Source organism: Homo sapiens, chromosome 19 (genome assembly GCF_000001405.40).
Source record: "Homo sapiens chromosome 19, GRCh38.p14 Primary Assembly".
Lineage (NCBI taxonomy): Eukaryota > Metazoa > Chordata > Mammalia > Primates > Hominidae > Homo > Homo sapiens.
The window spans coordinates 18,343,837-18,356,430 of NC_000019.10; the positions used below are offsets into that span (position 1 = coordinate 18,343,837).

At 50.0% G+C, this 12,594-nt stretch overlaps 1 protein-coding gene across 8 annotated transcripts in view, besides 4 other annotated features; it reads left to right on the forward strand.

Moving 5' to 3' along the window:
• PGPEP1 (pyroglutamyl-peptidase I) overlaps positions 1-12,594 on the forward strand; it is a 29,353-nt gene that overhangs the window by 3,239 nt on the left and 13,520 nt on the right. For 6 of the 8 annotated variants that reach the window (NM_017712.4, NM_001308366.2, NM_001329471.2 and 3 more), the window contains one exon: positions 12,059-12,175. In NM_017712.4, the coding sequence (NP_060182.1) occupies positions 12,059-12,175 (117 nt within the window). Of the gene's footprint in view, positions 1-5,111; positions 5,233-12,058; positions 12,176-12,594 lie in introns of all 8 variants that reach the window. The other 2 variants (NR_138029.2, NM_001329478.2) reach the window with 1 other exon arrangement.
• Positions 99-938: an enhancer, noted in NCBI's record as "NANOG-H3K27ac hESC enhancer chr19:18454745-18455584 (GRCh37/hg19 assembly coordinates)". NCBI's record gives its function as "activates a minimal SCP1, AML or CMV promoter by ChIP-STARR-seq in naive H9 embryonic stem cells {active_cell/tissue: H9 hESC(naive)}" and the evidence as "EXISTENCE:reporter gene assay evidence [ECO:0000049][PMID:30033119]".
• Positions 939-1,776: an enhancer, noted in NCBI's record as "NANOG-H3K27ac hESC enhancer chr19:18455585-18456422 (GRCh37/hg19 assembly coordinates)". NCBI's record gives its function as "activates a minimal SCP1, AML or CMV promoter by ChIP-STARR-seq in naive H9 embryonic stem cells {active_cell/tissue: H9 hESC(naive)}" and the evidence as "EXISTENCE:reporter gene assay evidence [ECO:0000049][PMID:30033119]".
• Positions 2,279-2,861: an enhancer, noted in NCBI's record as "OCT4-NANOG hESC enhancer chr19:18456925-18457507 (GRCh37/hg19 assembly coordinates)". NCBI's record gives its function as "activates a minimal SCP1, AML or CMV promoter by ChIP-STARR-seq in naive and primed H9 embryonic stem cells {active_cell/tissue: H9 hESC(naive and primed)}" and the evidence as "EXISTENCE:reporter gene assay evidence [ECO:0000049][PMID:30033119]".
• Positions 5,818-6,026: a silencer, noted in NCBI's record as "fragment chr19:18460464-18460672 (GRCh37/hg19 assembly coordinates)". NCBI's record gives its function as "represses an EF-1alpha promoter that drives an FKBP-Casp9 reporter gene in an ReSE screen in HepG2 liver carcinoma cells {active_cell/tissue: HepG2}" and the evidence as "EXISTENCE:reporter gene assay evidence [ECO:0000049][PMID:32094911]".

Sequence of the window (12,594 nt, forward strand, 5' to 3'; positions counted from 1 at the left end):
CACGCCTGGCTACTTTTTTCTATTTTTAGTAGAGATGGGGTTTCACCATGATGGCCAGACTGGTCTCAAACTCCTGACTTCAGGTGATCCACCCACCTCGGCCTCCCAAAGTGCTGGGATTACAGGTGTGAGCCACTACCCCCGGCCAGGATCTCCCTCCTTTTTAAAAATCTTTTCCATTGACTCAGACAAATCGTGACTCAGGTTGGTTTCTGAACAGCCAAAGTGAGAATTCTCTGGTATGTTTTAGGCAGGTAATTCATGGTTCAGGAAGGACCAGGCAGGAATATGTGGGGTGGGGTGGCAGGGGAACATATCTTGACCTTGTAGGAAGGGGTACAGTGAGCCTCGCTGTCATCTCCTCGCAGCTGGGGGAGGAAAAGATGGCATATTAGGGGCCGAGGGGGGCTGTCATTCCTGGTGCCCTGAAGAAGATGCCAGTCTGCAAAACCTTTCTAGTTTCTTTTCCAGATGGAGTATTTTGTAGGGACAGGCTGGGGAGCAATGCACAGAGAGAAAGACGGAAGTGTTTTCTCGTTATATAAATCAGATCGGCAGAGACCAGAGCCAAACCCCTGTTTATCCTAGCCTATGAGCTGCCTGATTTAAAGTAACCTCTGTTCCCATTCCAGAATCCTAGATTTGGAGAAAAATCTAAGTTGAAACCTCAGCGTGGCAGTCCCCAGCTGTACCCCCCATTTTTTAATCACCCCCTCATCCCCAACTTCAGACCTCAAAGTTTTGGCTGTTTCCCTTTTTTTTTTTTCTTTCCTGCCCACTTCGTGAACGGGATGGAGGGACGGGGTCCCGGGACCCTGCAGATGGGAGCGTGCCCGAGGCCCTGCCTGCTCACCCGCTCCCCGGAGAGCCAGACAAAAAGAAACAGCATGTTTCTGAAGACTTGTGTGTCAGGCTTTGTGCACATTTCAGACAGGAGCCTTCACGGGGCTGAGTGGACACAAAGCCGGGTGTCTGAATTCCTGGGCCCCAGACACTGATCTACATCTAAATAGAAGAAAAATCAATTAAACAATCTTTGGAAATCCCTCCGAGCTTCGGGGCTTCTCGGATGGTGAAGGATGGCAGCTTTTTATCTTGTGGCCAGAGAGGAAATAGCCCTTCTCCTTGGTTCTCCTCTCTCCAGACCTGCAGTTTCCACTTTTTGCTTTCTTTTTTTTCTGGAGACACAGTTTCGTTCTTGTTGCCCAGACTGGAGTGCAATGTCACGGTATCAGCTCACTTCAACTTCCGCCTCCTGGGTTCAAGCGATTCTCCTGCCTCAGCCTCCCTTAGTAGCTGGGATTACAGCTGCGCACCACCAGGCCCGGCTAATTTTTGTATTTTTAGTACAGACGAGGTTTTGCCATGTTGACCAGGCTGGTCTTGAACTCCTGACCTCAGGGGATCCGCCCGCCTCGGCCTCCCAAAGTGCTGGGATTACAGGCGTGAGTCACTGCGCCCAGCCCCACTTTTCACTTTCTTCCCAAAGTTTAGGACACAAGATTCCCCACCATTCGCCTGCCAAAAAGATGCCAACCTTCTTAGATCTGATTGTTTCACTTAAACAAAACAAAACAAAGTTTAACATATATACACCCAGAACACTCATTAGTGAAATTTTAGGCCTGATATGATGGCTCACGCTTGTAATCCCAGCACTTTGGGAGGCTGAGGCAAGGAGTTCGAGACTATCCTGGCCAACATAGCAAGACCCCATCTCTAAAAAAAAAAAAATACAAACAGCCGGGAGTGGTGGCGCATGCCTGTAGTCCCAGCTACTCGGGAGGCTAATATGGGAGGATCACCTAAGCCTGGGGAGGTAGAGGCTGCAGTGAGCCCTCATAGTATCACTGCACTCTAGCCCAGGTGACAGAGCTAGACCCTATCTCAAAAAAAAAAAAAAAAAAAAGAAAAGAAATTTGGCCAGGCACAGCGGCTCACGCCTGTAATCCTAGCGCTTTGGAAGGCTGAGGCGGGCAGATCGCTTGAGGTCAGGAGTCAAGACCAGCCTGACCAATATGGTGAAACCCTGTCTCTACTAAAAATACAAAAATTAGCCAGAAATCACTTGAACCCAGGAGGCAGAGGTTGCAGTAAGCCGAGATTGTGCCACTGCACTCCAGCCTGGGTGACAAAGCGAGACTCTGTCTCAAAAAAAAAAAAGAAATTTTACATATGTGCACCCCCAAGGGCCAGGTCAAGATCTCGAACATTCTCTGGTTCTTCCTCGCATTCTTCACAGAAGCCCCACATAGCCTCTCCCCCAAGTACTCCCAAGCCCTCCCGATGTAAACCTCTGCAGACTTTTTTGCGCCAGTAGGTGAATTTTGCCTGTTCCAGAAGTTGGCAGGAACAAGCAGCTTCCAGGTGCCACACCTCTGCGAGAACCGCCCCTGGAGTTGCTGCTTGGTTCCTTCCTGTCCTGGATTTGCCTGTTAGAAAGGTGTCACTGCTGGATGGGTTGAATCCATTCCTCCAAAAAATGTGCCCTGGAGTGTTGTTGGTGTAATGCAGGCAACTGTTGCCAGGCGTCACCTCCACCCAAAGATGGGTGTTTTGTTCTGCACTGTGGGTGGCAATTGCTTCCTGCCGTGACCGATTTTTCGGAAGCTCCTCATCCTTCAGGGACCCCCTAAGTACTTCTCTGTGTCTCTCCCCTCTTGCTCCCTCTGGGTCTCTCTCTGTCTCTTTCCTTTCTTCTATCTGTTCATATCTGTGTCTCTCTTCATCTCTCTGTCTCTTCTGTCTCTCTCTCTGTCACTTTCACCTTCTCTATCTGTGTGTGTCTGTTTCTCTCTTTTTTTTTTTTTTTTTTTTTTTTGAGACAGAGTTTCGCTCTTGTTGCCCAGGCTGTAGTGCAATGGCACAATCTCAGCTCACCGCAACCTCCGCCTCCCAGGTTCAAGCAATTCTCCTGCCTCAGCCTCCTGAGTAGCTGGGATTACAGGCATGTACCACCACGCCCAGCTAATTTTGTATTTTTAGTAGAGACAGGGTTTCTCCATGTTGGTCAGGCTGGTCTTGAACTCCCGACCTCAGGTGATTCGCCCACCTCGGCCTCCCAAAGTGCTGGGATTACAGGTGTGAGCCACCGCACCCGGCTGTTTCTCTCTCTTGTGTCTTTCTTCCTCTCCCTCTCGTCTCTTTCTGCCTCTCTCTCTCTGGGTTTCTCTGTTCCTTCCCACCTCGTCCCTTCTTTCTCTCTCCGTTTCTCTCTTTCTCGCTCTCTTTTTTTTTTGAGACAGGGTCTCACTCTGTCGTCCAGACTGGAGTGGAGTTCAATGGTCGATTGAACGAGTGAGGTGAGCAATCTCAGCTCACCTCATCCTTGACCTCCCGGGCTCAGGTGATCCTCCCGCCCCAGCTTCCCCATTAGCTGGGACTACAGGCATGCACCACCACACCCAGCTAATTTTTTTTTCTTTCTTTCTTTCTTTTTTTTTTTTTTTTTTGTAGAGATGGGATTTGGCTATGTTGCCCAGACTGGTCTCAAACTCCTGGGCTCAAGCCATCCTCCTGTCTTAGCCCCTCAAAGTGCTGGGATTACAGGCATAAACCTCCATGCCCATCCTTCTCTGTTTCTCTCTGTCTCCCTGTCTCTCTCTCTCTCTGGGTCTTACTATCTCTTCCCCTTTCTCTCTCTTCCTCTCTATCTTTGTTAATCTCCGTGTGTCTCAGTTTCTCTCCCTGTGTGTGTCTCTGTCTCCTTGTTTCTTTCTCTCTGAATCTGTCTCTTTCCCCTTCTCTCTCTCCCCATTTCTGTTTCTCTCTGACTCCATCTCTCTGTCTCTGTCTCTCCTTTTTTTTTTTTTTTTGAGACAGGGTCTCACTCTGTCACCCAGGCTGGAGTACAGTGGTGCCATCTTGGCTCACTGCAACCTCTGCCTCCCGAGTTCAAGTGATTCTCCCGTCTCAGCCTCCCAAGTAGCTGGGACTACAGGTGCACGCCACCACGCCCAGCTAATTTTTGTATTTTCAGTAGAGACGGGGTTTCACCATATTGGTCAGGCTGGTCTCGAACTCCTGACCTCGTGATCCGCCTGCCTTGGCCTCCCAAAGTGCTGGGATTACAGGCATGAGCCACCGCGCCCGGCCTGTCTCCGTCTCTTCTGATCCTTTCTCTTTGTCCCCTGGGTGAAGTCATGCCCACAGCATAGGTGGAACTGTTTCCCACCCGCAGTGTTCAGGAGGTGGGAGTTGGTGGGGTACAGAGGGGACCCCCCCTTGTCTTTCCTGGGATGGCAGCTTCCCCCAGCACCCCAAGCACGAGGCACCATGTGTCTCGTGTGTCCCGTCTCCCCTACCTCTCAGGGTGGACTGGGGCACTGGCTGTGTTTCTCTTCCGAGGAGGTGCAGGTGGGTGTTAAGGGCTGGGGAGCTCCGGGGCTCGGGGCCATCTGGGGTGTCTCTTGCCAAAGCTGGGTGAGGAGGACCCGGGTCACAGAACTTGGTAACATCACGGGACAATTGCTGCCACAGTGAGTCTAGACAGACCTGCTAAGGATATTACCAGGGAACAAAGAGGGTCTTTGTCGTGGGGTCAGGGGAATCGGTCAGACGAGGCTGCGCGGCGGGGTCCTGTCAGGTAGATGGGGTGTAGACAATGGGGCGTCTGCCCGAGCCCCGTCCTTTCACGGTGTATGCTTTGATGGTGCATGAGGCCGGGTGTGCTGCTGGCAAAGTGATGTGGGACTTGGGGTGCCCTGCCCCCCTTCTCCCGGAGGAGAACCATCCAACCCTTTTGGAACAGAGCGTGTTCAGAGGCTAAGACTTCAGCCAGATTACCAGCCACACACTTCCTTCTAGTGCCAGATACACTGTATGGCAGGTGGCTCCCTGCCGTTACCCTATTTAAAATTGAGTGATAATTTACATCAGGCAATGTGAACAGACCTTAAGTTTCCCTATCACTTTGGTGAGAAACTTTTTTTTTGTTTTGAGATGGGGTCTTGCTCTGTTGCCTAGGTTGGAGCGCAGTGGTACAATCATAGCTCACTGCAGCCTCGACCTCCTGGGCTCCGGTGATCCTCTTGCCTCAGCCTCCCAAGTAGCTGGGACTACAGGCATGCACCACCATGCCTGGCTAATTTTTTAAATTTTATTTTTTGTAGAGATGGGATCTCACTATATTGCCCTGGCTGGTCTTGAACTTCCGGGCTCAAATGATCCTTCCACCTCGGCCTCCCAAAGAAGCTGGGATTATAGGTGTGAGCCACCGAGCCCTGCCATCAGGTGGGTCTTGGCAAACACACACATGAACACCTCTCTTGTGACTGCAGGTCTTGGGGTATGTGTATATGCTGACAGTGGTTTTCTTTCTTTCTTGTTTTTTTGTTTGTTTGTTGTTTTTTATTTTTGTTTTTGAGACAGAATCTCACTCTGTCATCCAGGCTGGAGGGCAGTGGTGCAATCTCAGCTCACTGCAACCTCCACCTCCCGGGTTCAAGTGATTCTCATGCCTCAGCCTCCTGGGTAGCTGGGACTCAGCTAATTTTTGTATTTTTAGTAGAGACAGGGTTTCGCCATGTTGGCCAGGCTGATCTTGAACTCCTGGCCTCAAGCAATCCTCCTGCCTCAGCCTCCCAAATCGCTGGGATTACAGGTGTGAGCCACCCACCCCTGACCCTATTTTTCTGAATACAGCTTTCCCTGTTGATTTTTAAAGTAACACATCCCATGAGACTCAAGACATCACCTTGTGCCCATTAGGGAAAAGACAGAAAAGAGGCAGATCTGTTGATATGGGACTATGGGTTGTTTTATTTTATTGTTTTTGATTTTGTAAAACACTGAAATGGTTTAAAAGTCAAAATCATGCGATGAGTTTTTTGCATAGAAGTCTCCCTCCCGTCCCCATCGCCGCTCCCATTCCTTCCTTGCCCAGAAGGTGGCACAGTCTCGCCACGGGTCATGCCGGGAAATCCCTCCAGGTTGGTCCAAACAGAGATTACTCATTCTTTTAAATATTTTCATTTTGTTTTTAATTTTGATGAAATCCAGTTTATCAATTATTTTTCTTTTATTGTCTGTGCTTTTCGTGTCATTTGGTGTGTGGGGGCTTTTTGGTCTTTTTTCGAGATGGGGTCTCACTGTGTTGCCCAGGCTGACCTCAAACTCCTGGCCTCAAGTGGTCCGCCCCAGTAGCTGGGATTACAGGCATGAGCCACTGTGCCTGGCTGCTGATTTGTTTTTTGTTTGTTGGTTTGTTTTGAGACACAGCGAGACTCTAGCTGGAGTGCAGTGGTGTGATCTTGGCTCACTGCAACCTCCACCTCCCAAGTTCAAGCGATTCTCCTGCCTCGCCCTCCCGAGTAGCTGGGACTACAGGCATGCGACACCACGCCTGGCTAATTTTTTTGTGTATTTTTAGTAGAGACGGGGTTTCACCATGTTGGCCAGGCTGGTCTGAAACTCCTGACCTCAAATGATCTATCCATCTCGACCTTCCAAAGTGCTGGGATTACAGGCATGAGCCACTGCACCCGGCCTGTTGATTTGTTTTTAAGAGAAAAGAGCTCTGTGGGTCTCCTCTTGGAGATTAGGGGAAGACGCATTTATAAACGGTAAAATTTTCTCCTCTGGGACGTATTGAATATGAGGTGGGAAAACCAGGCTTCAGTGTAACGATCTCTCTCAATAGCAAGTATGTATTGACTGATCTGCAGTGCAGCAATGCCCCTACTTGGCATTTATGCCCCACCCATCAGCATGAGAAGTTTGCATGAGGACGTTCACTGCAGCTTGGCTTTACAGTAAGGAAAATTAGAAGCCACTTAGATGTTCCAATGTAGGGGAATGTTTAAATCCATAGCGACCAGTTTCTGAGGTGGAGTATTATGCAGCAGAGAAAAGGATGCGCTGAGATCTCCGTATAGTAATGTAGACAGATCTCTGAAATAGACTGCTGAGTGGAGCAAACAGAGTTGCAGGATAAAATCAATGGCTGGGCACAGTGGCTCATGCCTGTCATCCCAGCACTTTGGGAGGCCGAGGTAGGAAGATCGCTTGAGCCCTGGAGGTCAAGGCTGCAGCGAGCGCTGATGGCGCCACTGCACTCCAGCCTCAGTGACCAGAGCTGGACCCTGTCTCAGAATTGCTTTTTTACTGCCTATGAATGGAAAAGCAGCAGTAAATCTTTTTAAAAACTTTACTTTTGGCCGGGCACAGTGGCTCACGTCTGTAATCCCAGCATTTTGGGAGGCCAAGGTGGGCGGATCATGAGGTCAGGAGATGGAGACCATCCTGGCCAACATGGTGAAACCCCGTCTCTACTAAAAATACAAAAATAAGCGGGGCATGGTGCCTGTAATCCCAGCTACTCGGGAGGCTGAGGCAGGAGAATCACTTGAACCCAGAAGGTGGAGGTTGCAGTGAGCTCAGATCGCGCCACTGCACTCCAGCCTGGGTGACAGAATGAGACTCCATCTCAAAAAAACCAAACAAAACTTTACTTTTAAGTGCTGTTGGACTTTGTCTCAATGCAATTTTTAAAAAAGGATAAAATCAGGCCAGGCATGATGGCTCTTGCCTGTAATCCCAGCACTTTGGGAGGCTGAGGCAGGCGGATCACCTGAGGTCGGAAGTTGGAGACCAGCCTGACCAACATGGAGAAACCCTGTCTCTACTAAAAGTACAAAATTAGCCAGGCGTAGTGGTGCATGCCTGTAATCCCAGCTACTTGGGAGGCTGAGGCTGGAGAATCACTTGAACCCAGGAGGTGGAGGTTGCGATGAGCCGAAATCCCGCCATTGCACTCCAGCCTGGGCAACAAAAGCAAAACTCCGTCTCAAAAAAAAAAAAAAAAAAGAAGATAAAATCGATGTAAAAACAAGCCAGATGTGGTGGTACATGCCTGTAGTCTCAACTAAGGCTAAAGTGGGAGGATCGCTTGAGTCTAGGAGTTCAAGACCAGCCTGGGCAATGTAGCAAGACCCCATCTCTAAAAGAAAAAATTCTATGGGATTTCTCAGGTGTGTGAATAATAGATTAGAAACAGGTCTGCATGGGGCTGAGTGCAGTGGCTCATGCCTGTAATCCCGGCACTTTGAGAGGCCAAGGGGGGGCTGATCACTTGATCTCAGGAATTGAAGACCATCCTGGCCAACATGACGAAACCCTGTCTCTACTAAAAATACAAAAATTAGTTGGGTGTTGGCCGGGCGCGGTGGCTCACGCCTGTAATCCCAGCACTTTGGGAGGCCGAGATGGGCGGATCACGAGGTCAGGAGATCGAGACCATCCTGGTTAACACGATGAAACCCCGTCTCTACTAAAAATACAAAAAAATTAGCCGGGCATGCTGGTGGGTGCCTGTAGTCCCAGCTACTCCGGAGGCTGAGGCAGGAGAATGGCGTGAACCCGGGAGGCGGAGCTTGCAGTGAGCCAAGATTGCGGCACGCCAGCCTGGGTGACAGAGCGAGACTCCGTCTCAAAAAAAAAAAAAAAAAAAAATTAGTTGGGTGTTTTCCCAGTACTCGGGAGTACTGTAATCCCAGTACTCGGGAGGATGAGGCAGAAGGAACTCTTGAGGCCGGGAAGCAGAGGTTGCAGTAAGACAAGATCATACTACTGAATGATTTTTGATAATCCATCTCAAAAAAAAAAAAGAAAGAAAGAAACAGGTCTACATGATGTGTGCCCTGTCACCTCTGTGGTGTGAAGATGGGAATTAGTGTAGGTTTGTTGACGGAACGGATGGTGGGGCCTTTGAAAAATATAATTGTCTTTTTTTTTTTGAGACAGAGTCTTGCTCTGTCGCCCAGGCTAGAGTGCAGTGGCACAATCTGGGCTCGCACTGCAACCTCCACCTCCCAGATTCAAGCCATTCTCATGCCTCAGCCTCCCGAGTAGCTGGGAGTACAGGTGCGCACCATCACGCCCAGATAATTTTTGTATTTTTCATAAAGACAGGGTTTTTCCATGTTGACCAGGGTAGTCTCGAACTCCTGACCTCAGGTGATCCTCCCGCCTCGGCCTCCCAAAGTGCTGAGATTACAGGCGTGAGCCACCGTACTCAGCCACCTCTCACTATTATTCAACTTTTTCTGGGATACTGCTGAGTTACTTGGAAACAGGTTGAATCTTTTTTTTTTTTCCTTGAGACAGAGTTCTACTCTTGTCACCCAGGCTGGAGTGCAGTGGCACAATCTCGGCTCACTGCAATCTCTGCCTCCCAGGTTCAAGCCATACTCCTGCCTCAGCCTCCTGAGTAGCTGGGATTACAGGCACCTGCCACCATGCCCGGCTAATTTTTGTATTTTTTAGTAGAGACGGGGTTTCACCACGTTGGCCAGGTTGATCTTGAACTCCCGACCTCAGGTGATCCACCCACCTCAGCCTCCCAAAGTATTGGAATTACAGGCATGAGCCACCGGGCCTGGTTCATTTTTTTTTTTTTTTGAGACAAGGCCTTGCCCCGTTGCCCAGGCCATAGCGCAGTGGTGCAATCTTTGCTCACTGCATGCAGCCTCCCCCTCCCTGGCTCAAGCAATCCTCCCACCTTAGCCTCCCAATTAGCTGAGACTGCAGGCATGTGCCACCACATCCAGCTAATTTGTATTTTCGAGTTTTGCCGTATTGGCCAGGCTGGTCTTCAACTCCTGGGCTAAAGCAATCCTCCTGCCTTGGCCTCCTAAAGCACTGGGATTACAGGCATGAGCCACTGTACCTGGCCAAATTAATCATTTTAAAGTATATAATTGCATGGCATTAAGTACACTCACTGTGTTGCGCAACCATCATCTCTATCTAGTTCCAGAACATTCCATCACCCGAAAAGGAGACCCTGTCCCCATCAGTAGCCATTCTCCATTCCCCTCCCTCAGCCCCTGGCAGCCACTCGTCTGCTTCCTGTCTCTATGGATTTGCCTGCTCTGGGCATTTCATATCAATGGAATCATACAATATGTGGCCTTTTGTGTCTGGCTTCTCTCACTCAGCATCATGTTTTCAAAGTTCATCCACATTGTACCACGGATCAGTGCTTCTTTCCTTTTCATGGCTGAATCGTATTCCATCGGATGGATGGACCATATTTCATTTATCCATCTGTTGATGGGCATTTGTGCTATTTCTACCTTTTGGCTTTTGTGAATACTAGAGAGGCTTCTTTTTACAAATTGGACACAGTGGCTCACCCCTGTAATCCCAGCACTTTGGGAGGCCAAGGCAGGTGAATCACTTGAGGTCAGGAGTTTGAGACCAGCCTGGCCAACATGGTGAAACCCCATCTCTACTAAAAATACAAAAATTAGCTGGGCGTGATCCCGCATGTCTGTAATCCCAGCTACTGGGGAGGCTGAGGCTTGAGAGTCACTTGAACCCAGGAGGCAGAGGTTGCAGTGAACCGAGATCATAGCACTGCGCTCCAGCCTCGGTGACAGAATGAGACTCTGTCTCAAAAAAATAAAAGACTCTTGGGAGGCAGAGGCAGGTAGATCACGAGGTCAGGAGATCGAGACCATCCTGGCTAACACAGTGAAACCCCGTCTCCACTAAAGATAGAAAAAATTAGCCGGGTGTGGCGGTGGGTGCCTGTAGTCCCAGCTACTCGGGAGGCTGAGGCAGGAGAATGGCATGAACCCGGGAGGCGGAGCTTGCAGTGAGCCGAGGTGGCGCCGCTGCATTCCAGCCTGGGTGACAGAGTGAGACTCTGTCTCAAAATAAAATAAAATAAAATAAATAAAAGACTCTGTTGCAGGGCACAGGGTCTCACCCTGCTGCCCAGGCTGGAGCGCAGTGGCACGATCATAGCTCACTGCAACCTCAACCGCCTGGGCTTAGGTAATCCTCCCATCTCAGCCTCCTGAATAGCTGGGACCACAGGTGTGCACCACCATGCCCAGCTAATTTTTAAAGTTTTTGTAGAGGCCAGGTCTCACTATGTTGCCCAGGCTGGTCTCAAACTCCTGGGTTCAAGCGATCTTCCAGCCTCAGCCTCTCAAAGTGCTGGGATTACAGGCATGAGCCACTGCACCCAGCCCCATTTCTAAAATAATAACAGTAATAGGATAATGGCAGCCAATGTCATTTGAACACTTAAAATATGCCAGACATGGTGCTTAGAACTGTTAGCGTGAGTGAGCACATTTAATTTTGAAAGCTATCCTGTGAGGTAAGTCGATACTTTTTTTTTTTTTTTTTTTTTTTTTGAGACGGAGTGTTGCTCTGTCACCCAGGCTGGAGTGCAGTGGCACAATCTTGGCTCATTGAAAGCTCTGCCTTCCAGGTTCATGCCATTCTCCTGCCTCAGCCTCCCCAGTAGCTGGGACTACAGGCACACGCCGCCACGCCCAGCCAATTTTTTTGTATTTTTAGTAGAGATGGGGTTTCACTGTGTTAGCCAGGATGGTCTCGATCTCCTGACCTCGTGATCCGCCTGCCTCGGCCTCCCAAAGTGCTGGGATTACAGGCATGAGCCACCGCACCTGGCCTTTTTTTTTGAGATGGAGTTTCGCTCTTGTTGCCCAGGCTGGAGTGCAGTTACGTGATCTTGGCTCACTACAACCTCTGCCTCCCGGGTTCAAGTGATTCTCCTGCCTCAGCCTCCTAAGTAGCTGAGATTACAGGTGTGTGCCACTGCACCCAGCTAATTCTTGTATTTTTAGTAGAGATGGGGTGACACCATGTTGGCTAGACTGGTCTCGAACTCCTGACCTCAGGTGATCCGCCCACCTTGGCCTCCCAAAGTGCTGGGATTACAGGCCTGAGCCATCAGGCCTAGCCTGATACTCTGTTATTCCCATTTTACAGATGAGGAAACTGAGACTCAGAGAGATTAAGTGGATTGCCCAAGGTCACACAGGCAGGATTGAGTCCAAGGAGCCTGGGATTTAACCCCAGGGACCATAGAATCATGTCACCTTCCATAGAGATACAGAGAGACTTTGAGGCAAGAGGGTGGGGAAGGAAATGAGGGGCTTTGAACTAAATCAACACACACCCTTGCCATCCTGCAGAATGAGTCTGGAGAACGCCTGTTTGTTTCACCCCCCAGAGAGCGCATTATCCCCATAGCTGTCATCTGGGGCCATGACACTCCCACTCTCCTCTCTTCCAGGAGCTAGAAAAGCTAGGCCTTGGCGACAGCGTGGACCTGCATGTGTACGAGATTCCGGTTGAGTACCAAACAGTCCAGAGACTCATCCCCGCCCTGTGGGAGAAGCACAGTCCACAGGTGAGTGGTGCCAAGGGGCGGCACTTCCTCATCAGGACTTACAGGTTGGCACCCTTCATGTGGAGGACTTAGGTGGCTTTGGTCCTGATCAGATCACGTGACCAATGCCATACAGCCTTGTCCTCAAAAGGGCTTTTCAGGCCGGGCATGGTGGCTCATGCCTGTAATCCCAGCACGTTGGGAGGCCGAGGCAGGTGGATAACCTATACTCAGGAGTTCGCAACCAGCCTGGGCAACATGGCAAAACCCTGTCTCTACTAAAAATACAAAAAATTAGCCGGGTGTGATGGTGGGCGCCTGTAGTTCCAGCTACTCGGGAGGCTGAGGCAGGAGAATCGCTTGAACCCGGGAGGCGGAGGTTGCGGTGAGCCAAGATTGTGCCACTGTACTCCAGCCTGGGCAGCAGAGCAAGACCTGTC